Below are 12087 nucleotides of genomic sequence, written 5' to 3' on the forward strand. Positions count from 1 at the left end.
AATGCTTTATTTACAGCAACTCCCAAGGTAAGTATTACTGTCCTTATTTTACAGAGGAAGAAGCTGAGCCTCAGAGAAGTTAAGCAACTCATTCACTGACAGCACTAGAATTTAAACCCAGACTCCAGAGCCTGCAGCGCGGCTCTTACAGTTGTGATTTATTAATAACAATCGGTGACGCTGACTGAGTGCCAGGCACTGTGCTAAGGGTTTTACACACATTATCTCATCTAACTGGCTCAATAACTGTTTGAGGTTGGATTATTATTATTACAGATGATGACAGTGAGGCTCAAAGAGATGAAAACACTTGCCCAAAGTCACACGGCTAGAAAGTGGCTAAAAGGTTGCAAACCCTGGTCAGTTCAATACCAACAACTGTGTTCCCAATTACTAAGCCTGCCTTCCTTGGTTTCCTGACATTCTCAAACTGGATGGGCATGCTCACATCCTCATCCAGGTAATTAAAACACTGAACAGGAGACAGCCTTTTGGCATGCCACTGGAGACTTCACCTAGGATGACAATCGTACCCCCATGCCAGAATCACATCTTCAAACAGTTATGAACTCATCTAATGGTGCTACCTGATTGGTCTGTGCTTGGGAACTGGTGTGGGAGAGGGAAAAAGAAAGCATGGATTTGGGCAGGCACAGTGGCTCATGCCTGGAATCGCAGCACTTTGGAAGGATAAGGCAGGAGGATCGCTTGTGCCTAGGAGTTTAAGATAGCCTGGGCAAAATAGCAAGACGCTGTCTCTACAAAATTTTTTTTTAAAATTAGCCAGGCATGGTGGCATGCACCTATAGTCCCAGCTACGCAGGAGTCTGAGGCAGGATTGCTTAAGCAGTTCAAGGCTGCGGTGAGTTATGATGGCGCCACTGCATTCCAGCCTGAGTAAGACCCTATCTCAAAAAAAAAAAAAAAGAAAAGAAAAGAAAAGAAAAAAGAGCAGACTCGTAGCAGGACATGAAAAGGGGCCAAAGCTGAGATCGGTCCCCTGTCTTCTAACTGCAGGTCTACCCCAGGGCTCTGTTACTAGATTTGGCTTCAATCCTCCCCCTGCCCATTCAGATGATAATTATCAGGGTCTTGGAGGTACCACAGCCCCCAAATTGAATCTCAGATAATCCTTCCAGCTTTGTCGAGCCACTGGAAGTTTTCCCACTTCCAGGGGAAATAGGGACTTTGTGGTTTATCGGCCAAGGTCTGGGGTGGAAGCCAAAAAGGGCTTTTGTCCAAGGAGCTCAGAGAAGGCTTCTTCCACAGCTCTGACAAACAATAGTGTAACTGGTGATCTGGGGGGGCATTCCCGTTTCTTGGGAGACTTTTCTCCTAGAGTATCAGGATTTGCCTTCTCACAATCCCTTGTCATTCATCTTGCCTCCCTTGGAAACGGCCGTCACCCATTTGGCAGTAATGAGGATGGAAGGATGCGGTTCTGTCTCTTTAGAAAACTGGGCAATTAAATTTTCTTTAATGAAGTTCTTTATTTTCTCCTAGCAATATAATTTCTGTTGTGGATTTGGATAAATGTTTTTTAATTCCTTTAAATAGAAATGGAAGATAATGTTTTCTGGAAGACTATCTTAATATTTTTATAGGCCAACACCGAACTGTGTGTGTATTTTTCTCTCCTTGATAGCTATTCCAGAAGTTGCTTTGAATGCCTCCTGTGTGGCAGGCCCTAAGCACAAGAATTCGGGAATGAATAAAACAAGGCTTCTGCACTCAATGAGCTCACAGAGGGACAGACACATAAACAACCCCACTGTAATAGCAGCATGTCCAGGGTAGGAGTGGGACAAAAAATAGAAATAATGAACATTTCCGCAGCACTCGAGAGTTTACTTTCTCACACACCACCTCATTTGATCCTCACAGCAACCACCCTTTAAGGTTGATAATGCCCTCATTTCACAGATGAGGAAGCCAAGATGCAGAATGAAGAATGCAGACGTGACTCGCTCAAAAGACAGACCAGAGATGGAAAATCGGGTCTTATGAGTCTAAACCCCAGACTCTGGCCACTGCATCACGATGGCTCCTGACTGAAACTCGGTAAATTAAAAGGTTAAGCTGAACTTTTCCACTCTTCTACCCATATTTCAAAGTTTTGAAAGAGTATGGAAAAACTTCCTCACTGCGTGGGGGAATAATTCGGTAAAATATTACGTTTCATTTCAGCAATCATCCTTACACTACATAATGAGCACCACAGTAAGTTCAGCATAATTTAAATAGCTCTTGCAGGTGTCACTTTCTTTCTTTTACAGTTCAGCTGATGTCTGAGCATCCTCTCTAGCAGGAATTTTGCCAACAAAGTCCTTACTTACTGTCAACTTCGTGGAATTTTAAATCAGAAAAGGAATACATGCTCATTTTTTTCAGAAGCCAATCAAAATTGAACAGTATAAAGATGAAAAGGTCTTCTTTCCCCTGTCCCCTGACACTACCACCCTATTCCACCCCTCGTCCCCAAGGGTAAACCTCATTACCAATCGTCAAAAACCAAAGACTCTTTTTATACATATCTAAATATATAAGGACATAGGGTTTTTATTTTTAAAACTGTAATACATACACACACAGACACACATACACACACACACTTTGGGTGTTATTTTTCCCACCTCACTCAGCAATAGTCTACCTAATTATTAAATGTTCTTTTGCTTTCAAAAAAAAGATACACAGCCAAACTGGTGAGTTTACTATAGACCAGGGCCAATTATGTTAAGTTCATGAAATCTGAGGCACTTGTAAAATGCAGATTCCCAGGGTCCACCCACTGCCCCCCAACAGAGATTCTGATTCAGTAGGTCTGGGGTGGTTCCTAGAATTCAAGTTCCTTGAATTTGTTACAAGTTCCTCCAAGGTGATTCTGCTGCAGGTGGTCCAGGAACCACACTGGGAGAAACACACACATAACAGGCAAAGAAAGTGTCATGCCTGTCTACAACTTACTAGTATTTTCTTTTCCCAGCTACCCATGCTGCCAACTCCACGTCTCCTGATGTCTTTTAGTACTGCCCCACCTTACTCTCCTTCCCAACCAGGTGCACTTACTAATGGCTTCAGCTGTTGGTTCAGAATCACTGTCCAGGACTCTGAATGCTGGTGCCCCACTTACTGGCTTAGCCGACATTTCTAGTGTTTAATTAATGCTACTGTGTGCCAAGCACTGTGCTGGAAATTCTGACTTATGTTATTTCAATTAATTACCCACACACACAGTGAGGTGTTATTATGTCCCTCTTTCACATGAGGAAACTGGAACTCAGAAAAGTTAATGACTTTCATCCAAGGTCATTCAGCTGATTCACCATGAGCCGTGATTGAACCCCGGTCTGGGTGACTCCACCCAGGGCATCACAGCTGCCTCCTTCCACGTTACATTCCACTTTCTTGTCTCATCTATCTCTGTGACTTTAGCTTAATTCTATCAAGAGAAGGTGGGTTTCAATCTTCTTCAGCTGATTCCTGGCTTTAATTTCACCTTAAAAGCACTCATCCCACGATGGTATTTACCATCCTGAATAGAGCTATTATAAAATCCCCTTTCTGGAACCACTTTTATCTTTTACACCTGGAGTTGTGTGTTTCTCTTAGAAGCACTGATCTTTCTGACCCCTTAAATATTTTGATGACTTCTGACCCTTCTCTAAATGGAAAGATGGTTCTGTCTAGATCCTAAAGAGCTCAGGAAACAATGATGGTGAGGTAAGCTTAGTCAATACAACTCAGCTTTACAAATCAGTATCAGTAAATCACCCACAGCATTTTCAGCCCTTTAGATCCATTTGCTATAGATTCCCCCATGCACACTGCACCACTCCTTCCATAACACTCAACACTTTTGTAATTACAAATTATCCTTTGTCTTCCCCACAGAATTATAAAGTCTGTGCGGGCAGGGAACATAGTAGGAGCTCAATAAATATTTGTTAAGCTAAATCTATGTGAACTGGCCCACCACATTCTCAGCATTTCTTTCACACAATTCCCAGTAACATAATTCTATGTTTCTGGCAGACAGCAGTAGAGCCTCTGCCATTTTTGGAGCAGAGTTTCAATGGTGATATTATGCCAAGTACGAGATCCAGCAAGACAGAGATGCTCAGGGTGGGGCCTGAACCTGGAGGATCAGGCCAAGGATGGAGCCCTAGATTAGCTGAGGGTCACGGGACAAATAAATTCAAACAACCACAACCAGGCAAATGATCAAGGGTCCAGAAGATCGGAGCAAGAGGTCAAGGAGTAATCAACTATAAGACGTCAGAAGCCAGAGAGTGACTGTTGTTCTGCCTCAGTTTCCCCAAGGTAATAGATCTTTGGGAGACCCAAAACATCCTGTCTGGAGAGGCCACTGATCAAAGTAAAGACATTGTGACTGCCAACTCTGCTTGGAAGTGTCCTACCGAGACACTGAGTTGGAGAACAGCCATGTCGCTTGGCCAGTTCACATTCTTTAGTACAAATTAAATCACAGACATGACATCCATTCTTTTGTGTCCCTGAAGGTGGCTGAGATGTTTCATTGGTAAGAGTCTTCTCATGTCATTTCTCTGACCCTCTTAAGGCACTATAAGCTATAGAAGGTCCCCTAAGGAACTGTCTCATCCTGCCAAGCTTGAATCTCTCAGCGAGAACTCTACCCGCCTACAGAAATCCAGGTCTTTCTATTTGACAAATGGTTGGAAAACTTACTGATCTACATTAACTGTATTTTGAAAATGCTCTCACCAGCAATCGGAAGCAAGGGGATGGCAGGCTACATCTGCCAGGAGCAGACAAGCAATCCGGAATCCAAAAAGTATCACAATGGCCAGGAAATCCAGCAGAGAGCAACAAGGAGGAAAGGAAAGGTAGACCAGGGAACAGGTACCAGCAGGGAGGGTCTCCAGCTGCTGAAGATGAATCCTTTGCCCTAGACAAGCCTCTCCCTTTAGCACTTGCTGCCAAAGACAGAAACTGCTGCCTAGGACCAACAGGGAAATAAGACTGTCAGGGATGGGAAGGGGGAAATTCTAGCTGAAAGTGGCTGGGACAAATGTGGCAGTGAGGGAAGTTCTTGATGAGTTAGCTCAGTTCCCCCCAGTTTTACCCAAATCACAAAGACCTGAGACAGAAGTGACCAACACAAGCCAGGCGCCACAAGAGAGTGGTGTCCCCTCCCTAAAGGACCATTAAAACGGACGTAGGAGGTCACGCATATTGATGTTCTTACTTGACAAACTGTTTATTTTTAGGCCATACTCTATTTCAAGTCCTCAGCCTATAGGCCTATGATTATTTTCCTATCAGCTTTATTTTTATAACTCTGCCTTAAAGATCTATGATCCCATTTTTATTATACACAGATATAAAACAAATGTGATTGATAGAGACGTGAAGTCTGGAAGGAAATACATTGAATGTTTATAGTGGTTATTTCAGGTAGGGGCTTCTAGATTCTTATATTTTCCTTAAAGGAGTCAAATTCACACAAAGAGTAGCATGGTGGCTGCCAGGGGTTGGGAACGAGGAGGAAACGAGTAGCTATTTTTTTTCTTTTTCTTTTTTTTTTTTTTTTTTGAGATGGAGTCTCGCTCTGTCACCCAGGCTGGAGTGCAGTGGCATGATCTCGGCTCACTGCAAGCTCCACCTGCCGGATTCACGCCATTCTCCTGCCTCAGCCTCCCGATTAGCTGGGACTACAGGCGCCCGCCACTGCAGCTGGCTAATTTTTTTGTATTTTCAGTAGAGACAGTGTTTCACCGTGTTAGCCAGGATGGTCTCGATCTCCTGACCCCGTGATCTGCCCGCCTCAGCCTCCCAAAGTGCTGGGATTACAAGCACGAGCCACCGCGCCCGGCCAAGGAGCTATTGTTTAATGGGTACAGAGTTGCATTTCACAAGATGAAAAAAGTTATGAAGATGGGTGGCATTTAATGTGAATGCATTTAATACCACTAAGCTGCACAATTAAAAATGGGTAAGACGGTAAACTTTGTGTTTGTGTATTTTACCACAACAAATAAATACGACTCTCATCCATACCATCTTCAAGGTCAAAGACTTACAGGATCTGATGATCAGACAGGAACTTCAAGCTCTTCTCCTTTCCAGCCTCATCTCCCACCACCATTTTGTTCCACCTACTCAGGATTTTAGCCACCTCAAACTCCTCACCATTTCTCAAGTACCCTGACCCTTTTGTGACCCCCATACCTTTGCACATGCTGTCTTCTCTTCAGGTAATGCCTTTCACCACCTGGAGAGCTTCTATTCATCCTTCAAAATCCTGCTTAAAAGATCCTTCTTCTATAAGAGTTTCTCCAGCTCTCCCTGGTAAAGTTGAAACTTCATTGTAAGTTTCCACAGTGCCTGGTTCTACCACTGTCCCAGTACTTACTACACTGTGTCATAATTTATTAACCTATTTTTATAACGGTCTGATAGTTTGGTTGTGTCCCCGCCCAAATCTCATGTCAAATTGTAATCCCCAGTGTTGGAGGTGGGGGCTGGTGGGAGGTGATTGGATCAGGGGGATGGATCCTTCATGAATGGTTTAGCACCATCACTTTGGTGCTGTTCTCATGATGGTGAGTGAGTTCTCAGGAGATCTGGTTGTTTAAAAGTGTGTGGCACTTCCCCCCCCCTCTTCTTCCTACTCCTGCCATGTAAGATGTGCCTGCTTCCCCTTCACCTTCTGCCATGATTGTAAGTATCCTGAGGTCTCCCCAGAACCCAAGTAGATGTCAGCATCATGCTTCCCGTACAGCCTGTGGAACTGTGAGCCAATTAAACCTCTTTTCTTTATAAAGTACCCAGTCTCAGGTGTTTCTTTATAGCAGTGAAAGAAGAGATTAACACTGTCTTTTCATAGAACTATGTGTCTGAGATGGGGATGCAAAAATTGGTGAAATATAGTTCCCATTCTTATCTTTGATAAGACTTAAGTTTCATAAAACTATGAAACTATTTTTGTGTCCCCATCTCAGACACATACTAGGAACTCAATTAATAGAATATATGCCAGATTCCCTGCAGTATTCCTGCAATCGGCCACCTGTTCACTTCACTTCCTTCTAAGTCATCCATTGGGTGGCTCTGCATGGATACAATTATCCCATCTCTGGATTTTTCATCTTCCTGCATTACGTCTCAATCAGGGTTTGGGGAAAGACTGGATCTGCTTCAGTATGCACCCCAAAACGTAATATCTATGTGTTCTTGTATGCAAAGTCCATCACAAGAACACCTATAATCATTCATTCGTTCAACAAAAATTGTGACCATTGGCACCTAGAACACCCATTGCCCCCAGGGGACATTTGGCTATGTCTGGAGACATTTTTGATTGTCACAACTGGGAGCGGGGATGCTACTGGCATCTAGTGAGTACAGGTCAGGAATGCTGCTAAACATCCTACACTGTGTTCTAGGTGCCAAAAAACACTAATGAACAAGAGAAATCAAAGCTCTTATTGAGTTTCAGTCCTGGTGAAGAGAAGAAACAAAGAAAGCGTGAAAAATATCATATAGCTTTTAGTGCTCTGCTAAGAATTCAGGTCAGCTGATCCAATAGAGAGTTGCTGTTCGGCTACTTAAGATGGGTTAGTCTGCAGGTGGCATGCAACCTCAAAGCAGAATACCAAGAAGGAGCCAATCAAGTGGCAATCCAGGGCAAGAGCATTCCAGAAAGATGGAAAATCTAAGTGCAAAGGCCCAAAGCAAGTACAAGCTTGGAGAAGTCCAGAAACCAGTACAGGCCAGCATGACTGGATAGAATGACAAGGGGAGAGTGACCAGGGGAGGGAAAGAGGTGAGCACAGCGTGGCTTTCTAAGTGCAGTTGAGGGGCTTGGATTCTAGTCTCATGCAATGAGATGCTACTGAAGGGTTTTAAACAGGGAAGTGACATGGCCAGATTTAAATGGTGTACAGATTACTGCTGGCTGCTGTGGGGAGAGTAGACTATGGGACAAGAAAAGAAGCAGGGAGACCGCTTAGAACTGTGGTTCTCAACTAGGAGTGATTTTGTCCCCAGGGGACATTTGGCTATGTCTGGAGACATTTTTGATTGTCACAACTGGGAGCAGGGATGCTACTGGCATCTAGTGGGTACAGGTCAGGAATGCTGCTAAACATCCTATGTTATACAGAACAGCACCTTCAACCACAAATGATCCAGCCCAAAATGCCAACTGTGGGTGAGAAGCTCTGAGTCAGGAGACCCTGAGAAACTTTGGGTTGCACTGGTCCCAGCAAGAGGTAATGGCAGGCTAGGCCAGGATGGAGGAGATGGAGAAGGAAGGAAATTCACTGTAGTTAATACTTTGAAATATTGAATGCTTTTCTCCAAATTTTCTTGACCCCCTTGGTCCCTCCTCAGTCAGGGAGGGCATTCTGTGTTCATTGCCTCAGGGATAATGCAGAAAAAGAGTCAATTCTTGGCATTTTTTCAAAAGTCCTTAGGGAGGAGAGAAAGAACGTGAGATTTATGGAAAACAGCTTTGACAGAATGTCTGATGACAAAGCCAGGATACCACCCTTGTTCCCCGCCCCACCACACGAGCATATGGGTAAAGATTTCCTAGACCAAAGTGGAGAGTAAATCAGTAAAGCAAAGTATATGTAGGTACAGGGATCTATAAGAAAAAAATCTGCACCCTGCCCAACTCATCCCGAACAAGCCCGGGGAGGGAGATGATGAGGCAACCACCAAACAGATTCACAGAATCTAAGAGTGGAGAGAAGCCGGATCCCTTCCCCAGGCAGAGCCCTAGGGAGGCACCAGGGGAGAAGCAAGTGTTGAGTGTGGCCAAGACAGGCCTGAGGCAAATATCCAGGGTCCCTCATGGCCCAGTGTGGTGTGTGAGCAGCAGAATCGCCTCTGGTGCCAGCAAATTGCATGGAAGGAACCAAGGAGAGGGGGACACATGAGGAACAAAGAAGGATTGCTGACACAGACCAACCACCAAAGACTCAATAAGAAAGAGGATGTCCCAGTAGCTGCCAAAGTAGATTGATGATAAACCACAACAGATGTCCTCACAAGGGCCTTGGTGCTGCCTAAGTCCCCCTGGATCTTGGAGCACAACCCTGGAGGGAAACCCCAAATTGACTTATACTTATTTCTGTCACCCCCAGCAGAATAAAGATGTGAGGCCGGCCGCAGTGGCTCACACCTATAATCCCAGCATTTTGGGAGGCCAAGGTGGGAGGATCACTTGAGGTCAGGAGTTCTAAACCAGCCTGGCCAACATGGTGATACCCTGTCTCTACTAAAAATACAAAAATTAGCTGGACGTAGTGGCTGGCACCTGTAATCCCAGCTACTTGGGAGGCTGAGGCAGAAGAATCACTTAAATCCAACAGGCATAGGTTGCAGTGAGCCAAGGTTGCACCACTGCATTCCAGTCTGGGCAACAGAGCAAGACTCTGTCTCAAAAAAACAAAAGATAGAGATGTGAAATGGAGACTGAGTCACCAAGAAAGAAAGAAAAATATATTTCTTGTGCACCTGGGTTTGTAGCTGAGATTTGTTCACTCTGAGGCACAAGGGAACATGGGCTTCTCTGTGTTCATCTGTGCCATTATCACCTAGCACTGGCTATGCAATCCCAGGGGGAAGAGCCAGGTCCATTCAAGGAACCTGGAACACTCTGCTGCAGCAGTGTGCACCCCATTACCATCACGCACAGATGGGCACACGCAATGCATATTGATTAGGGCTGCACTGTTTCCAAATTACCATTTAAATCAATGGTTGAGCACTCTGTAATTGGAAATGTCAAAATCCACATTTCCTAGGTGAACTCAAAGCACTACATTGATATCACTCAGCTCAACTAGATGTGCATTTGTTTTACTTCTTTCCCTCTTCAAACTGCTCTCTGAGACAAGTATAAAACATTAGGGAACTGAGCCAGAGGCAAAAAGAAAAAGCACCCAGATGATCCATGAATTGTGCAGCCTGACATATTCTAAAATGTAACTCAGAAAACAGAGTCTTGTGACCCAGTCCATGAAAAATATCTACACAATCAAGTAAGTTTGAGGAAACTCCATGGGCCCTACTGAGCGATTCACACTTAACACAAGCAAGATTCCCAGAAGTCCTGGGGGAAGCAGGCCTATTTCACACTGTTTATTCTAGAACTTCCAAAATCTATTAGAGCACACAACTACTTTTTTTTCACCCAACACCTCTTTACAACCAATTTAAAGGAATACTCTTAGGGAACATTATCCCAAACATAAACTAGCATAATGATTCAACAAACTGAGGGAATAGAGTTAAAGTGCCATTATTTGCCAGCCAAGATGTTTTATGAACACCAACAAGCCATCAGGAATGAATATTTTCCAAGTGAAATCAAGCCCAAGACAGCTTCCTGGGCCCTGTATTAAGCCAGAAGTTCTCAAGCTCAGCACCTTTAAAAAGTCAACCCCGTCCCTTCCTAATAGCTGTGAAGGAAAGGACTCAATTTCAGGAGGCAGCCCAAACTCACCCCCTCCTGACCTCACCAATCCTTACCCGGCTAGACACCCTTGCCTCATCTTTCTTTCCAAGGTACTACTCAGCTCTGCCTCCCCAGGCAACCATCACACACCAGAACAATTCAACTCAGTAATATGTATTGATCACCAACTAGATGGTGGGCACTACGCTACAGCAATGAACCAAGCAGATAAACCTTCCACCGTCATGGAGAGACAGTCTAAAAGTAATCTGAAAGCCACAGCCCCTCTCCAATCATCAATTTCCACATCTGAAAAACAAATAGAGTTGGACTAGAAGACACCTAAAATTTCTGGTTCCGTATTTCCAGGTTGGTGGTGGACTGGGCTGGCTGGTGAGAGGTAGCTCTGGCAGCCTGCATCACAGCCGTGCGGGCAGTTTTGCAGTGGACACTTTCCCAAAGGTGACTTCCTGGGGTGGGATTGAAGGGATCTGACACACCGCGGTGGCATCAAGTGCAAACTAGGAGAGGCTGGATTAGCAGGAGTGTGGAAGTGTCAGGAAGGGAAGGAAGTCAAAGGTTAAGACCCACCCCACACTTCCCCCACTGAAGGAACCCCTTGTTGCCTTGGCATGCATGTTGCTTTCGTGCACCCCGGAAAGTGAGGAAGATGCTGAATTAAACCTAGCTCTGCCACTGTTCACTGTGCAATCCAGTGCAATTTGTTTTATTTCTCTGAACTTCAGACTTTAATCTATAAAATGAAAATAATAATGACTACCTCACAGAGTTACAGGGATCACAAAATTAGATACTCCATATATGACTGAGACATAGAAGCTAAAAAAAAAATGAATTACCTCCCACTGCTAAATAAAGCTATACAGCCTGAAGCATGGCTTACAAAGTCACTGAATGAATGAATAATAGGAGTTTCTGGAAAGGAAATGTCATCTCCAACATATAAACTCTAGTAGTAAAAACTCCAGAAATGGCTAATATGAACTCTCAGATCCATTAATTTCCCCAGACTGGGAGGGGCCTGGAAGGAAGTGCTCCCTAGACCACACCCCACTGAGACGGCTGTCAACATAACAGCCTTCACCAAATCTCCACTAAGAAACATCTCATCTACCAAGGAAATGCAAGGAAATCGAGCAAACCATTAAGAATATTTCCTCTCCCAGTGAAACCTCTACTTTCAATAGAATAGGAAGCGTGGATGTTATTATGAGTTGAATGTTTATGTCCCCCAAAAATGCATATGTTGAAGCCCTAACCCCCAGTGTGATGGTATTTGCAGGTGGAGCCTTGGGGAGGTGATTAAGGTTAGATAAGATCATGAAGATGGGTCCCTCCTGATGGTATTAGTGCCCTTATAAGAAGAGGAAGAAAGCCAACCAGGCAAAGTGGCTCACTCCTGTAATAATGCTCTTTGGGAGGCCAAGACGGGTGGATTGCTTGAGCTCAGGAGTTCAAGACAAGCCTGGGTAACATGGTGAGACCCCATCCCTACCAAAAATACAAAAAAAGAGCCAGGCATGGTGGTGTGCGCCTATAGTCCCAGCTACTCGGGAGGCTGAGGTGGGAGGATCACTTGAGCCCAGGGGGTGGAGGTTACAGTGAGCTGAGAT

The 12087-nt window shown here is 44.5% G+C and overlaps 1 protein-coding gene across 10 annotated transcripts in view; it reads right to left on the bottom strand.

Annotated features, from left to right (window-relative positions):
* SRGAP3 (SLIT-ROBO Rho GTPase activating protein 3) overlaps positions 1 to 12087 on the bottom strand; it is a 382437-nt gene that overhangs the window by 249354 nt on the left and 120996 nt on the right. The window contains exon 1 of one of the 10 annotated variants that reach the window (XM_011534296.3): positions 6214 to 6330. The exons of the other annotated variants lie outside the window; for them this stretch is intronic. Within the exon in view, the coding sequence (XP_011532598.1) occupies positions 6214 to 6223 (10 nt within the window). The 5' untranslated portion in view covers positions 6224 to 6330. Of the gene's footprint in view, positions 1 to 6213; positions 6331 to 12087 lie in introns of those variants that run through there. 10 annotated transcript variants of the gene reach the window in all.

Source organism: Homo sapiens, chromosome 3 (assembly GCF_000001405.40).
Source record: "Homo sapiens chromosome 3, GRCh38.p14 Primary Assembly".
NCBI classification, from domain to species: domain Eukaryota; kingdom Metazoa; phylum Chordata; class Mammalia; order Primates; family Hominidae; genus Homo; species Homo sapiens.